The sequence below is a fragment of the Homo sapiens genome, chromosome 1 (genome assembly GCF_000001405.40).
Source record: "Homo sapiens chromosome 1, GRCh38.p14 Primary Assembly".
Lineage (NCBI taxonomy): Eukaryota > Metazoa > Chordata > Mammalia > Primates > Hominidae > Homo > Homo sapiens.
This window is the reverse complement of record NC_000001.11, coordinates 9,717,444-9,731,158: the sequence shown is the minus strand read 5'-3', so window position 1 is coordinate 9,731,158 and position 13,715 is coordinate 9,717,444. Positions and strand designations below refer to the sequence as shown.

General features: G+C 58.4%; 2 protein-coding genes and 1 long non-coding RNA gene across 43 annotated transcripts in view, besides 8 other annotated features; 2 read left to right on the top strand and 1 right to left on the bottom strand.

The window, feature by feature from the left end:
• Positions 1-2,233, top strand: part of CLSTN1 (calsyntenin 1) — a 95,601-nt gene extending 93,368 nt beyond the window's left edge. For 2 of the 4 annotated variants that reach the window (XM_047449470.1, NM_001009566.3), the window contains one exon: positions 454-2,233. In XM_047449470.1, coding sequence (XP_047305426.1) covers positions 454-651 — 198 coding nt within the window. In that variant the 3' untranslated portion in view covers positions 652-2,233. The remainder of the gene's footprint in view (positions 1-453) is intronic. The other 2 variants (NM_014944.4, NM_001302883.1) reach the window with 1 other exon arrangement.
• PIK3CD (phosphatidylinositol-4,5-bisphosphate 3-kinase catalytic subunit delta) overlaps positions 2,045-13,715 on the bottom strand; it is a 101,857-nt gene continuing 90,186 nt past the window's right edge. For 19 of the 38 annotated variants that reach the window (XM_047422557.1, XM_047422553.1, XM_047422555.1 and 16 more), the window contains 17 exons: positions 13,533-13,622; positions 12,244-12,465; positions 11,142-11,238; positions 10,917-11,047; positions 10,498-10,548; positions 10,250-10,417; positions 9,911-10,032; positions 9,572-9,715; positions 9,299-9,398; positions 9,006-9,184; positions 8,803-8,915; positions 8,553-8,631; positions 7,867-8,034; positions 7,067-7,190; positions 6,738-6,883; positions 6,223-6,355; positions 2,045-4,250 (listed from right to left, as the gene is read on the bottom strand). In XM_047422557.1, coding sequence (XP_047278513.1) covers positions 4,113-4,250; positions 6,223-6,355; positions 6,738-6,883; positions 7,067-7,190; positions 7,867-8,034; positions 8,553-8,631; positions 8,803-8,915; positions 9,006-9,184; positions 9,299-9,398; positions 9,572-9,715; positions 9,911-10,032; positions 10,250-10,417; positions 10,498-10,548; positions 10,917-11,047; positions 11,142-11,238; positions 12,244-12,465; positions 13,533-13,622 — 2,205 coding nt within the window. In that variant the 3' untranslated portion in view covers positions 2,045-4,112. Of the gene's footprint in view, positions 4,251-6,222; positions 6,356-6,737; positions 6,884-7,066; positions 7,191-7,866; positions 8,035-8,552; positions 8,632-8,802; positions 8,916-9,005; positions 9,185-9,298; positions 9,399-9,567; positions 9,716-9,910; positions 10,033-10,249; positions 10,418-10,497; positions 10,549-10,916; positions 11,048-11,141; positions 11,239-12,243; positions 12,466-13,532; positions 13,623-13,715 lie in introns of those variants that run through there. The other 19 variants (XM_047422561.1, XM_047422562.1, XM_047422564.1 and 16 more) reach the window with 6 other exon arrangements.
• Positions 5,888-6,096: a silencer, noted in NCBI's record as "fragment chr1:9785121-9785329 (GRCh37/hg19 assembly coordinates)". NCBI's record gives its function as "represses an EF-1alpha promoter that drives an FKBP-Casp9 reporter gene in an ReSE screen in HepG2 liver carcinoma cells {active_cell/tissue: HepG2}" and the evidence as "EXISTENCE:reporter gene assay evidence [ECO:0000049][PMID:32094911]".
• Positions 8,970-9,944: an enhancer, noted in NCBI's record as "H3K27ac-H3K4me1 hESC enhancer chr1:9781273-9782247 (GRCh37/hg19 assembly coordinates)". NCBI's record gives its function as "activates a minimal SCP1, AML or CMV promoter by ChIP-STARR-seq in naive H9 embryonic stem cells {active_cell/tissue: H9 hESC(naive)}" and the evidence as "EXISTENCE:reporter gene assay evidence [ECO:0000049][PMID:30033119]".
• Positions 9,945-10,921: an enhancer, noted in NCBI's record as "H3K27ac-H3K4me1 hESC enhancer chr1:9780296-9781272 (GRCh37/hg19 assembly coordinates)". NCBI's record gives its function as "activates a minimal SCP1, AML or CMV promoter by ChIP-STARR-seq in primed H9 embryonic stem cells {active_cell/tissue: H9 hESC(primed)}" and the evidence as "EXISTENCE:reporter gene assay evidence [ECO:0000049][PMID:30033119]".
• Positions 10,922-11,897: an enhancer, noted in NCBI's record as "H3K27ac-H3K4me1 hESC enhancer chr1:9779320-9780295 (GRCh37/hg19 assembly coordinates)". NCBI's record gives its function as "activates a minimal SCP1, AML or CMV promoter by ChIP-STARR-seq in naive and primed H9 embryonic stem cells {active_cell/tissue: H9 hESC(naive and primed)}" and the evidence as "EXISTENCE:reporter gene assay evidence [ECO:0000049][PMID:30033119]".
• Positions 10,922-12,874: a biological region, named in NCBI's record as "MED14-independent group 3 enhancer GRCh37_chr1:9778914-9780113".
• Positions 11,104-12,303: an enhancer, noted in NCBI's record as "MED14-independent group 3 enhancer chr1:9778914-9780113 (GRCh37/hg19 assembly coordinates)". NCBI's record gives its function as "activates an origin of replication core promoter dependent on BRD2, BRD4, P300/CBP and CDK7 cofactors, and independent of MED14, by STARR-seq in HCT116 cells {active_cell/tissue: HCT116}" and the evidence as "EXISTENCE:reporter gene assay evidence [ECO:0000049][PMID:35650434]".
• Positions 11,898-12,874: an enhancer, noted in NCBI's record as "H3K27ac-H3K4me1 hESC enhancer chr1:9778343-9779319 (GRCh37/hg19 assembly coordinates)". NCBI's record gives its function as "activates a minimal SCP1, AML or CMV promoter by ChIP-STARR-seq in naive H9 embryonic stem cells {active_cell/tissue: H9 hESC(naive)}" and the evidence as "EXISTENCE:reporter gene assay evidence [ECO:0000049][PMID:30033119]".
• On the top strand, positions 12,423-13,056 carry LOC124903839 (uncharacterized). The gene is made up of 2 exons (XR_007065457.1): positions 12,423-12,489; positions 12,789-13,056. It is a non-coding gene; the product is annotated as an uncharacterized LOC124903839 (long non-coding RNA).
• Positions 13,130-13,199: a silencer, noted in NCBI's record as "silent region_231". NCBI's record gives its function as "represses an Ori minimal core promoter by ATAC-STARR-seq in GM12878 lymphoblastoid cells {active_cell/tissue: GM12878}" and the evidence as "EXISTENCE:reporter gene assay evidence [ECO:0000049][PMID:35858748]".

The following is a 13,715-nucleotide window of genomic DNA, read 5'->3' as shown; positions in this document are numbered from 1 at the left end:
GGGCCTCCGAGAAGCCGGTACGGCGCGGCTCCTTCAGGTTCACATGCTTTCCATCGCGTCATCTGCTCAGCAAGCCTGGGGCTTAGGTGTCTTCGTGGGTAAACCGAGGCTGAGAGAGACCTTATTCAAGGCCGTTCTGCCTTAAGTGTAGAGAAGAGCCATGCCAGGGCTTGGCGCTCTTGGGTCATGGTAATCCTGAGAGAGTTCTCTGGTGGGGCAGCTGAGGTGCTGTCCCAAGCTGCTTTGTATGTGGGTGACTCCGTGGGTGCTGACTGGAGCTTTGTTTTCCCTTCACTTCTAATATAACTTCCGGTGCCGTCCTGGCTGCTCTGTCGCTGGGGAGGGAGACGCTGGGGCAAGTTCTCCTTCCTCTGTGGCTGTCGAGAGGAGAATGCCAGGTGACGGGGCTGTGGGCAGGGCCGGACTCATGTGGCCGTCACTTCTCCTTGCCAGACCTATGAGGACCAGCACAGCAGTGAGGAGGAGGAGGAAGAGGAAGAGGAAGAGGAAAGCGAGGACGGCGAAGAAGAGGATGACATCACCAGCGCCGAGTCGGAGAGCAGCGAGGAGGAGGAGGGGGAGCAGGGCGACCCCCAGAACGCAACCCGGCAGCAGCAGCTGGAGTGGGATGACTCCACCCTCAGCTACTGACCCGTGCCCCCGGCCACCTCGGTTTCTGCTTTCGAAGACTCTGCTGCCATCCGTTCTCCCAGTCCCAAGGGTCCACGATGTACAAAGTCATTTCGGCCAGTAGGTGTGCAGACCCCTCCCCGCCACGATCGTCGCTGTGCTTGGTGTGTAGGACCCTAGGCTCCCCGCCCACCCTCTGCCTGGTCGCGCTCTTCAGTCCCACGAGGAGCTGACACGTCCTCTCTGGCCGCCATCCGGCTCGCACAGGGGCCTCCCAGCGCCTCAGGCCCCGCGTTTGTGTCTGGAGTCTCCCCCCGGGGAGAGGACACTGGCCCCTCGCACTCCAGAAAAGCCATGCCAGCTGGGCTCGTTGACAAAGGGTAAAACATGCTCACTCCCACCCGGTAATCATTTTTTTCTTTTTTTAAAAAAAGTTTTTATTTTTTCCAAACTAGTGCATGTATAAATAATGGCAGGATGGGGGGTACTGTGTAGATGATTAACTGACTTTTTAATATTTTGTAAATAAATCGGATTCCTTGTGTCCTTTGTGCTAGTGTAACCCGGGACTGGAATGTAAAGTGAAGTTCGGAGCTCTGAGCACGGGCTCTTCCCGCCGGGTCCTCCCTCCCCAGACCCCAGAGGGAGAGGCCCACCCCGCCCAGCCCCGCCCCAGCCCCTGCTCAGGTCTGAGTATGGCTGGGAGTCGGGGGCCACAGGCCTCTAGCTGTGCTGCTCAAGAGACTGGATCAGGGTAGCTACAAGTGGCCGGGCCTTGCCTTTGGGATTCTACCTGTTCCTAATTTGGTGTGGGGTGCGGGGTCCCTGGCCCCTTTTCCACACTCCTCCTCCGACAGCAGCTCCCTGGGCAGTGGCCTGGTCTCACCGTGTGCAGCCTTGTGGTTTATGCTTAAATGTACATTTTCCTGCTGGTAAAAGGAGAAACTGAGAGGTGTCCTGCAGACCGGCTGACCACTCCTTTTGGAGACGGCAGGAGGCCTGAGCGATCCGTACTCAGAACGTCCAGGAGAGACGCATGGCCCGAAGTCAAAGTGCTGGAATTTTCCAAAACAGCCTGTTCTCTCCTCTCTCCTCCCCAGAGCACCCCCTGCCATCAGGGGGGTTGAAATCCCTCTCCCCCAGGAGCCCTGCTGCTTTGCTTGGTGGTAGGGCAGGAGAGCAAACAAACAGTCATGGTCTAAAACCCACATAGCACTTTGCTCTTAGTTACATGTAAAATTTTAGATTTCTAAAACAGGTGGGCAATCATTTTGAATACTGTTCTGTGACCCTGACTGCTAGTTCTGAGGACACTGGTGGCTGTGCTATGTGTGGCCATCCTCCATGTCCCGTCCCTGTAGCTGCTCTGTTTAGACAGCGGACAGACGCTCACGCCCAGGGGATGTCCTCACGCTGTCGCCGCGCGGTTTCCCTTCGCAGATGTGTATACTCATGATAGGTCAGAAAGTGTATCCGCTACAATAAAGTTCTGGTTCTAACTAACTCCAGCCGGAGCGGGGTTTGTCTTCTCTCCTGTTTTGGTTTTAAACCTACACTCCCTTGTTTCTTTTTGAGCCGAGAACATAAAAGAACATAAAAAGGCTTTTTCTTTCTTTTCATCTGCCTTTACTTCTCATTTCAAGGTTTCACAGAGTGCTGGTCTCAACCCACATCAGTGATACTTAACTAACTTGCCTTCCCCAGACAGAAACATGAAATGACTTAAAAAAATAGAAAATATTCTTCTCGCCAGGCACACAAGACTGTACACCCAAAACCAGAAACGCTGTGGCTTTGCAAAGTGTGCTCCCACACCCGCGCACACAGGCGCACTTAAATAAATAACGCGCACGCACGGCTTTCCCCATTTCGAAACAGGCAGACGGTCTAGTGAGTTTCAGCACTTGCTGGGAACAGGCGTGTGGCCAGGGAGGTGCCCCGCGGGTGGCAATGACTACTGACGGACCCCTGGTGAATCAGAACAGAGCTGGCACCTGAGCCGCTGAGCGGGCGGCTACTTCTGGCTCTGTTGAGTTTTGGAAGACCTTTGAGAAATCAACAGCATCACCGGGCAGGTCCTGAGTCCATGGCCTGATATGTTAGGATCACCTGTGGGCTGCTAAAAGCCCACAGTCCTAGCCCCATCTGCAGAGTTAGTTGGCTTCTGAAGGCTGGGAGAAGCCCTAGAACCTGCATTTCTAAAGCTGCTCAAATCCAGGCCTTTGGAGGCTTAAGACTAAGCCTGCACCATTTCAAACTAAGTATAGTCAGAGAGAAAGATCCCAGCACGCCCCCTCGTTCTCACACTTCTGGTACCTCAGCACTCTCACAGCAGGTTCCCAAAGGTGATGGTTCTGGAAGAGTTCTGGCCTCATCCTTTTGTTAAAACCTGCTTTCAGAGGTGGCTTAGACAATGGCAGAGTGGGCCGGGCGCGGTGGCTCATGCCTGTAATCCCAGCACTTTGGGAGGCTCAGGCGGGTGGATCACCTGAGGTCAGGAGTTCGAGACCAGCCCAGCCAACATGGTGAAACCCCCGTCTCTACTAAAATACAAAAATTAGCTGGGTACGGTGGTGCACACCTGTAATCCCAGCTACTCAGGAGGCTGAGGCAGAAGAATCACTTGAACCTGGGAGGCGGAGGTTACAGTGAGCCAAGATTGCACCACTGCACTCCAGCCTGGGCAACAGAGGAAGACCCCATCTCAAAAAAAAAAAAAAGATTTTTGAGATAATGGCAGAGTATTCGCTTCTGACCTGCTTTTGCCTTCATGCGTGACCGGGGTGAGCTACATGAGGCCCAGATCTCTTTAACACGTCCTGAGGACCAGCGTAGATTCTCCTTTATGGGGCTGGGCCTGATCTCCCCAGCCGTAGAGGTGTGGTGAGTCATCTATTATTTTCTTACCTGCAAACAAAATCACTTTACAGTAGAGAAAGATGAGGGAATTCTCGTACCCAAGACCCACTTGAAAAGTGGAGAGCAAGCATCCCTGAATCTAGAGGGTACCCCGGCTGCCTCGGGGAGCTGCCAGAACTCAGTCTAGGGAGGATACACAGGGTGGGTCGCACGAGGATCAAGGCATCCTGTCGGACAGTAGGCACCAGGTGACCGCCAGGCGCCAGGACCCAGGCAGTCTGGCGGGAGGCCTGGGAAGAAGGTTCCCTCGGGAGGAGAACAGTCTTTGCTGGGCCCAGATCCACCAGCTGGAAGACTTGGGGTGACAATCCTCAGCCGAGAGCCAGGTGCAGCCTCGGGGGGCCCAGCACCGCCGCTGCATGAAGGAGGCGTTTCCGTTTATGGCTGTTTAGCTCCTTAAACTATTTCAAGTCATAAATAAATAACCAGTGTAAACAAAAGGCAGCCATGTCGGTTCTTTCCCGTTAGGTGCAGTTCAGGCTCTTCAGCCCCTTTAGGACCAATGTGCTTGGTCCCCACGACCCGCAGCCGCCTCCTCTTGGGCCCAGGGCTGGGAGGAGCCACTACTGCCTGTTGTCTTTGGACACGTTGTGGGCCAGCCAGTTCACTTTGGTTTTCCAGCTCTCACGGAGGGCTTCGTTAAACTTCACTCGGAAGTGCTTCAGTGCCTCCTCCTCTGTTTTCCCCAGTGCCAGGGAGTCCTGCAAACAAATCACAGCGGTGTCCACGTTAAGGGGGCCCGGACCTTGCTCTGGGATGCGTCCCTCTCTGGGGACTTCAGAGTCACTGAATGAAATGGTTAGTAGAGAGCTCCCAGCATCTCAGGAAAAGCTCTCTATTCCGCTCCCACCCTCAAATGAAGGTGCCAAAGACATCTTGGCCCCAGAGCCCCCAGTTCCCAAGTGACCTCGCCTCCCCTACTGGAGAAATGGCTCTGGGAGGAGCATGGGAGCAGCTGCTTTTGCAGGGACTGGTCACCAGAGGGAAGGTCCTGGCAAGCATGTGTGGCCCCAGCAGCCTCACCGCCCCATCCCACCTTCTCACATGGAGAGGACACAAGAAGGAAAAAAAATACATATGTATCTGTATATATACATTTTTTTGAGACAGTCTCACTCTGTCGCCCAGGCTGGAGTGCAGGGGCATGATCTCGGCTCACTGCAACCTCCGCCTCCCAGGTTCAAGTGATTCTTCTGCCTCAGCCTCCCAAGTAGCTGGGACTACAGGCAGCCGCCACCACACCTGGCTAATTTTTTGTATTTTTTAGTAGAGACGGGGTTTCACCGTGTTAGCCAGGATGGTCTCGATCTCCTGACCTCATGATTCACCCGCCTTGGCCTCCCAAAGTGCTGGGTTTACAGGCCTGAGCCATCGTGCCCGGCCAATTTTTTCTTTTTGAGACAGAGTCTTGCTCTGTCACCCGAGCTGGAGTGCAGTGGCGCGATCTAGGCTTACTGCAGCCTCAGTCTCTCGTGTTCAAGTGATTCTTCTGCCTCAGCCTCATGAGTAGCTGGGATTACAGGCATGTGCCACCATGCCTGGCTGATTTTTTGTATTTTAAGTAGAGATGTGGTTTCACCATGTTGGCCAGGCTGGTCTCAAACTCCTGACCTCAGGTGATCCACCTGCCTCAGCCTCCCAAAGTGCTGGGATTACGGAGGCATGAGCCACCATGCCCAGCCTGGAAAAATATCTTTTATTTATGTTTATTTTTATTTTATTATTATTTTTTGAGACGGAGTTTTGCCTTTGTTGCCCAGGCTAGAGTGCAGTGGCATGATCTCGGCTCACTGCAACTTCTGCCTCCCAGGTTCAAGTGATTCTTCTGCCTGAGTCTCCTGAGTAGCTGGGATTACAGGTGCGTGCCACCACACCTGACTAATTTTTGTATTTTTAGTAGAGACAGGGTTTCACCATGTTGGTCAGGCTGATCTCGAACTCCTGACCTCGTGATCTGCCCACCTCAGCCCCCCAAAGTGCTGGGATTACAGGCGTGAGCCACCGCACCCGGCCTGGAAAAATATCTTTTTTTATTATTTATTTTTATTTTTTTTGAGACCGAGTTTTGCTCCTGCTGCCCAGGCTGGAGTGCAATGGCACAATCTCGGCTCACTGCAACCTCCGCCTCCTGGGTTCAAACGATTCTCCTGCCTCAGCCTCCCGAAAGTAGCTGGGATTACAGGAATGCACCACCATGCCCAGCTAATTTTGTATTTTTAGTAGAGACGGGGTTTCTCCATGTTGGTCAGGCTGGTGTTGAACTCCCGACCTCAGGTGATCCGCCCACCTCGGCCTCCCAAAGTGCTGAGATTACAGGCGTGAGCCACCCAGCCTGGCCAAAAAATATCTTTTAGAAGGCAGAGGGAGCCAGCGCTCACGCGGCCCCCTAGTGGACACCTGAAAGCCCCGCAGCCCTGAGCACAGCACCCCAACCAGGAGAGGTCACTACACATCTGCCACTGAGTGGAACCATGCCTGGGCGGCTCAACTCTGGTCCAGCCACTTTCCCCTCCACCGCCCACCAGCTCCACTGCTGGGTCCTGGGACGGCATGAGGCACACACAGCTCAGTGCCCTTTGGGGCCTACTGCATTCAGGGCCCTCCTAGGTCACATTGCTCGGGGGCAGGCCTTGGAAGTCCACTGGCGACAGCAGTCTCCTGCCCGGCACATACCTTGAGATACTGGATGTCTTTGGAGCAGCTGAGCTCAGGCAGGCCTGCCGCCCGCATCAGGGCAAAGAGGTGGAGGAAGAGAAGCCCGTGGCGCCGCAGGATGGTGTAGGCCCTTTCACAGTAGCCCCGGAACCTGCAGGTAGGGGACAGAGGAAGTGAGGCTCTGGGAACTCCCAGCCACAGGCCAGAGGGCCGCTCTGCATCCAACCAGCCCCTTCCCCAAGGACACCTGCCCTTGCCCTGATAATGGGTGGACACAAGGCCTCCAGTTCTGCTAACTGACCCCCGTGCCCCAGCCAGCCTCCTGCTACATGACCCACAAACCTGCCCACATTGCCCAAAAGGGGCACTGCAGGGTGGAGCAGGGGCATGTTCCAAACCCATCAACAGTTGGGGTGAGGGGCCAGGTGTGGGGTTGAGACCTGAGCCCCATCCTGCACCCTGCCTGGGAACCTCTGCCCTGTTCCCTGGGGCCCCACACCGAGGGGCATCTGGTGGGGCTCAGGCACTCTCACCGTTCAAATTTCTCACTATTATTAGTCTTCCCCTGCTGAATCACATGGACAAAGTCGTAGGTGAGGATGAATGGGACACGCTCGCGGTTGATTCCAAACTTGGTCTTGAAATTCCCCAGAAAGTGGCCAAAATCAATGTGGAACAGCTGAGGGGAGGGGAGAGGAGGGGGAGGATTGAGAAGGTGTCAGACAGGAGAGAATCCAGGGGAGACAGGAAGCCAGCAGGGCTGGGGGACCCCTGCCACAGAGCTGTGTGCTAGGCAGAGGGGCCAGCAGGCTGGGGCCAGAAGCCAAGTCCCCACAGCAGCCGCCAGCACCAGCCCCTGTACCTGCCCACTCTCTCGGATCATGATGTTGTCGCTGTGCCGATCGCCAATGCCCAGCACATATGTGGCCACACAATAGCCAGCACAGGAGAGGGTGAACTCCTCAATGGCTCGATCCAGGGCCTCCCTGGGTGGGGAAGATTAAAAAGCATGGCCATACCATTTTGCAGCTCCGCCTATCAAGAGGTGGGTTATTACTCCCTCTCCCCTTGAATCTGGCCCTGTGACTTGCTTTGACCAACAGAACATGGAGGACACAATGCTGGACATCGCTTGCAGACGCTATTCCAGAGCCAAGGCATGAAGACCCCTGCAGATCTTGAACCCCATACCCTCAATACAGAGCCACGGAAGGAAGGTGAGGCTGCTAAATGAGGAGACCACATGCAGAGAGGCATCACAGACAGCTGGCGCCAAGGCCCCAGGAATGAGATGGGTTATCTCAGACCCCACTGGCCCAGTTAAGGCACCAGATGAGAACAGCTGCATGAGTGATTATGTGGAACCAGCAGAAAAGCCACCCGGCTGAGCCCAGCCCCAGCTGCAGATCTGTGAGCCAATCGTAAATGGCTGTTTTTTAAAGCCCTGCGCTTTGGATGGTGTTGCATAGCAAGAGACACTGATACTTGGGGAAGAGAGACCTACCTCACCCCAACCCAGACACAGGCTGGTCCTCAACTGAGCCAAGTAGCCACAAAGATGGTCTGAGGCCCCTCCCCGCTCCTTTGTTCTGACAGGCGAGGCCCTCCCACTCCACACCTCTTGGAAAGGAGAGGGAACCTATCCCTGGGCCTGAAACCCACCCCGGGTTCTTGGACTTCAGCCAGTTGAGCAGGGCATCCTTGTTGAAGGCGGCTGTGGCTGCCATGTTGCTCTTGTTGAGTTGGATGTTGGCGATGGTGTCTGAACGGAGTACCACCTCAATGAGGCCTGTGCGGTCCCCGGTGGGGAGGCAGCCATAGGGGGTCATCCTAGGCAAGGGGGAAGAGGGACGGGCAAATGGCATGGTCAAGGGCTGTCCCTGAGGCCACTTGAGCCCCAGAAACTCATGGTGCCCCAAAAAGCCACAGAAGATGCTGCTGCCCACATTGCTAAAAAGCAGGTGAGAGATGCTGGCTCCTTGGAGATGCCGGCACCAGCATCTGAGGTGCAGAAAGCACCACAGCTGAGTTCACATTTGCTTGGAAGAGAACCAGACAGAGGCCTTGGGAGAAGACGCCACTGCTTCCCAAGATGGGCTGGGGAAGCCAGGGGCACCTGGGCAACTAAAGCAACAGAGCAGGGTACACACTAAGCCTCAGGAGCAGCCTTCACGCATCCTGCTGCCCGCCGCCTCCTGGCCTAGAGTTAAACCGCCTCCGGGTCTTCCTAGGAAAGCCCTTTCCCCGGCTGAGATGGTCATGCCACCTTCAACAAGGACCCCTCCAGGGGCACAGACTCCCAGGCTGGGCACAGACACCAAGGGACGATGTGGGGTGGGGGTCCTCACCTCAGGTCCAGCCCCTCCTGCTTCCACAGGACGTCCATGAGCTGGATCATCTGCAGGGTCAGCATGTCCTGCCGGAGGTCTGTGCCACCGGCCGGTGGGAGGAGAAGCGTGAGTTTCTGGTAGGTTCTCTGCTTCCAGCTACACCCAAGCCCTTAAGTCCCAGGATTCTGTCTTCTCCACCCCCACTCTAGGAGCACCCCAGGACCCCCCAGGGCAGTACAGGCGGGGTGTGGGGAGGCCAGGCCCTCACCATCCCCGTTCTTAAAGATGATGCCCACGCTGCCGCCGCTGCCTGCCTCCTCGTTGCTGTACATGATCCACAGGGGCTTCATCTTGGAGTCCATGAAGGTGCACTGCTCCACGCTGCCAGGCCAGAGAGCGGGCAGTCAGCAGGGGCTCCTCTACCGGCCTCCCAGGGGTGGGAGGAACCCTTGTGGCGGGGCTTGGGCTCACCAGACTTCAGCCAGCAGGGTGCTGGGGTCGAGTGGGGACTGCAGGTGGGAGAGGGCCTCTAGGTAGGCCTCCTGCCGCATGCACAAGTGCATCAGCTCCTTGGTCTGGGGCTTGGGGGTCTTCTGAGAGCTCAGCTTGACGAAGTCATTCAGGGCCTTCAGTTTGCTCAGTGCTTCCCCCTGGTGGGCAGATGGGAGGGCGGCGGTGGGCAGGTCCCAGCCTCGACCCAGCCCTGGGGATTCCCAGACGCTCAGGGCCGCCCCCTGCCCGCCCCCCAGGGCCTTGGGCCTCACCTGCTTCATCAGCACCTTCATGTGGTGGGTGCTGCCCCTGCAGTAGGCCTCCAGGATGAGGCCGAAGCGCAGGGCCACCGACGGCACGTGCATCTCGGAGCTGGAAGGTGAAGGGAGGGCTGAGCCTCACCAGGCAGCACCACGCAGCCCCTCCCGCCCAGCAGGACCTAGCGAGGCCAGGACACCCAGGCCTGCTGGAAACGTCCCCAGTGGCCTTCCAGGGAGACTCAGGGGCTGGGATTCCCACAGAACGGCTGGGGCAAGTCCCGCTACCGGAGGTGCCAGAAAAGGAAGTGGCCGATCTTGCGGTTGGCCAGGGCCCGGTCCAGCAGGAATTTGGTCAGCTCGCAGTCCAGGTAGGACTCGTACTTGAGCACCTGCACCAGCTGCAGCAGGTACTGGAACAGCTCATCGTCCCTGCAGGGAAGGAAGGCGCTGGGGCCTGGAGCTCCCCGACTCAGGACAGGAGGGAGCTCCCTCGGCAGCCAGAGGGAGGCCAGGCAGGAGGGAGCAAGCCCACGGGAAGGTTCAGGCCCCACCCAGAGCCCACGTCCTGGCAGCCAGGACACAGCTGCCCTCTGGAGAAGTGGGGAGCGCCCAGCTGGGACTCACGTCAGTTTCCGCAGCGACTTGATGGCGAAGGAGCCTACGTGGCAATCGGGGAAGCTGAAGTCTAGCAGCTCCAGGGCGCTCAGGACGGGCAGCTCCGGCCAGGAGCACAGCAGGTAGAGCATCTGGGGGGAGCCGAGGTCAGGCTTGGGGGCGGCCGGGGTCAGGGTGGAGGTGGTCAGGGTAAGGGTGATGGCCAGCCAGGGTCAGGGTGGTGGGTGGCCAGGGTCAGGGTGAAGGTTGGCCAGGGTGAGGGTGGGGGTTGGCCGGGGTCAGGGTGGTGGGTAGCCAGAGGCTGTGGTCTGCCCCCAGCTCCGCCCCCAGGTGCGCCTCCCCACCCACCTGGGCCACATCCTCATGCTTGTTCCACTTGGTGACCAGCAGCAGCCGGGCTAGCGCCTCCGGGAAGTGCTCCTGGACTTCATGCCGCAGCTTCCACACCAGGTCCTTCTCGTGCTCATACAGCTCCCCAGACCCCCGCCGCTCCAGGATTTCCCGCAGCTGCAGCTGCTGAGGGGTGTGGGCAGGAGTGAGGGCTCTGGTTCCACGCCGGCTCCATGCCCCCCACCCCACACCCCCACCCCACTCACCTCCTCCTCGGTGACATGCACACACTCGCTGTGTCGCCCCAGCTCCAAGATCTGCAACAAACGGCTGCACTCAGCGTCCCCAGGGGCCTGGACCAGCCCGGGCAGGACCCCCAGGCCGGGCATTGCCACCCCAATCATCCTTGAGGGGGCGCTGTCCTCTGCATGGAGGCGCATCCACAGCAGCTCTGGCCTCCACTCACGAGATGCCAAGAGCATCCCTCCTGGCAGCTGTGACAACCGAAAATGTCATCAGACTGCGCAGCATCCCTGCAGGCAAAATGGCCCCTGGGAAGGCCCCAGATATGCCTGGTAGCCCAGCCCCGACGTGGCCAGGGAGCACCCTCTGAAGAGCTCCAGGAGCAGGGCCAGGAGAGCTCCGCGCCAGCCCCTCAGCCTCACGCGGCGGGGCCCCCACTGACCTTCTCCAGGGCGGGGTAGTACACGGGGTGCGGGGCCACCTCGGGCAGGCAGATGAGCAGGGCAGCGGCGCTATCCGTGTTGGGGTTACTGCGCACAGTGCCCGTGGGGTTCAGCAGCTCGCCCTTCTCATCTGAACACAGGGGCAGATGAAGTTGTAGAGGGGTGACCAGCATCTCTGGGACCCTCACACTCCCAACGCCTCTCCCTCCTGGGCCTGGGCCGACCTGGGACGGAGGGCCACATGTAGAGGCAGCGTTCCCCGGTCTTAAGCTGGTCCTTGTAGTCAAACAGCATGAGGTTGGCCCAGGCAATGGGGCAGTCCTGCAGAAGGACAGGGCAGGTGAGGACAGCCACTCAGGGGCCTCCAGACCCAGCTTCCCTGCCCTCCCCCAGGCACCCCACCCGAGAAGACCCAGAGCCCAGCTAACATCTCCCAACCAGACCCCTGGGAGACCCTGCTTGGGGAAGGAGAGGAGCCGCTTTTTCCTCTTTCCTCTGAGGGCTCCAGTGGTGAAGCCAGCTGACACCTGCTGCACCCTCCTGTTCCCACCTCACCCCTACTCAGGCTTTTTTTTTTTTTTGAGACGGAGTCTTGCTCTGTCACCCAGGCTGGAGTGCAGTGGCACGATCTCGGCTCATTGCAACCTCTGCCTCCTTGGTTCAAGCAATTATCCTGCCTCAGCCTCCCAAGTAGCTGAGATTACAGGCATGTGCCTCCACGCCCGGCTAATTTTTTTGTATTTTCAGTAGAGACAGGGTTTCACCATATTGGCCAGGCTGGTCTCAAACTCCTGACCTTGTAAGCCGACCACCTTGGCCTCCCAAAGTGCTGGGATTACAGGCATGAGCCACCACGCCTGGCCCTCCTGGCTTCTTGAGAAATCCCCAAACAGACAGCCCAGCCCCAGAGGCCAGCCCAGCTCAGCTCGGAGTGAGTCAGCTCCGAGGGGAGCCATATCCTGGGACCGTGACTCAGCACCCAGCCACTACGCCTCCCGGCCAGCCGCTGACTCAGGCTTTTCTGCTCCAGGGATGACACTGTGCTTGTCCTTCCATCCCAGGGCACTACCTGCAGGTTCCTGCAGGACCACAGCCCAGGCCAGATATTCTGAGGCCGCATGCACAGGAGCCCAGGAGCCCAGAGTGTCCCTCGAGCAGGGCTGGTGGCCAGACTAGGGTGGGTGAGGAGGCTGGGGTCCACAAGCAATCCCAGGACCCCCATCCCCAGGCTGCGTGCTTGCCGGGAGGAGAGTGGTGAGTGGCCCAGCAAGGGGCTGTACTGGCTCTCCGGGGTCTGCACCCCTCCCAGCCGGCCCTGGGACCCACCGCCTTCTTGGACTTCTTCTTGGTGGAGCGAGCCTTCTTGGCTTTCTCGATCACGGCGTACAGCGCAAAGCAGAGACGGGCCATGCGGGGCAGGTCGCAGATGTTGATGTCGAACTCCAGCCGCTGCTTCCACACGGGCTCCGAGCACACGCTCACCTCCGAGCTGGACACCGTCTTGCACAGCATCTCGTTGCCGTGGAAAAGCCCGGCCTGCACCACCAGCTGTAGAAGGTGCCGGGATGATGGGTGAGGAGGCAGAGGCCCAGCCCCTCTCCCCTCCCCCTTAAGGTGTCAGTCTCCCCCTTGAATGTCCTCAGGTGGGTCTGAACTCTACTTCCCACACGAAGGAAGGTGGTGCAGCACAGGGAAGGCCTGAGGGGCATGAGCGGCCCTGGGGTGAGGGAGGGTACCACGGGCTGTGCATGGGTGCCCTGTCTCAGCTACCCCAACTCTGGGGACCTCGGGGCATGTCCATTCCCCACTCCAGGCCTCAGTTTCCCCATCAGGGATCAAGAACTTCAGGGACCCTTGCTCTAACATCCTAGGGCTCCCTGGACTTCTCAGATTCCTATGAGCCCATGTGGGTGGGGAAGGACTTTTCCTGCCACCTGATGTCCGGCCCCTTCCAATTCCACCTGACACCACCACCCTGGAAGTCCCTCTGATCCAGTCCCCCTCGATTCCTGCCAGTGGAACCCAGACCTGCCCTGCTTATACGATTTCCCCAGTGAAACACACTCCAGGCAGGAGGGCCAACCTCTGAGGACTCAGGTATCATGTCCAGCAAACAGGACAATAAAGCCCATGACTGCAGGCTGTTGCGATGGAGCGTGTGAAAGTGTTAAGAGACAACAGGGAGGTGGGCTCAGCCCCTAGAGGTTGAGGCAGGTGCAGCCCTCACAGGCTGCAGGCACCGCCCTGGTGCCTCCAGGGAGCACCACAGCCCCCAGCCCAGCTGGACCCAGCCCCTCTTCCATGCCCGGCCCTTCCCCCAGCTCTGCGGTCCCGGATCCCTGGGCTGAACCTGGCCCCATAACCTCCACCAAAGTCAAATACCCAGAACGCTGCTTGGCCCAAGTTTCTACGAATCAGCCTCCAGGGCCGGCTGGCCCACCCCCTCCCCACTTCCTGTTTTCAAGCCGCTCACAGCGCCCCAGGCAGGGATGCTGGGTAATGTGGTCAGGTGGCTTTCATGTGATCCCCCTCCTTCCTCTGCTACCCCTCCAGGATACAGCCACCTTGTTTGTGCAAAAAAACAGTGTCTCTCCCACCTATCCCAGGAGCCCCACCTTCATCCGCTCGTCGGCGTTCACTTTGCTGCCCTGGATGAGCTCGATGCGGAACGGCTGCTCCAGGGACCACAGGGACACAGAGGAAGGCTGGGGGCCGGGGAAGCAGGGCTGTTAACACGGCTCAAAGTGCAGCTTGTCTCCCTGGCCTATGGTGAGGCCCGTGACCACTTGGGGGCGGGT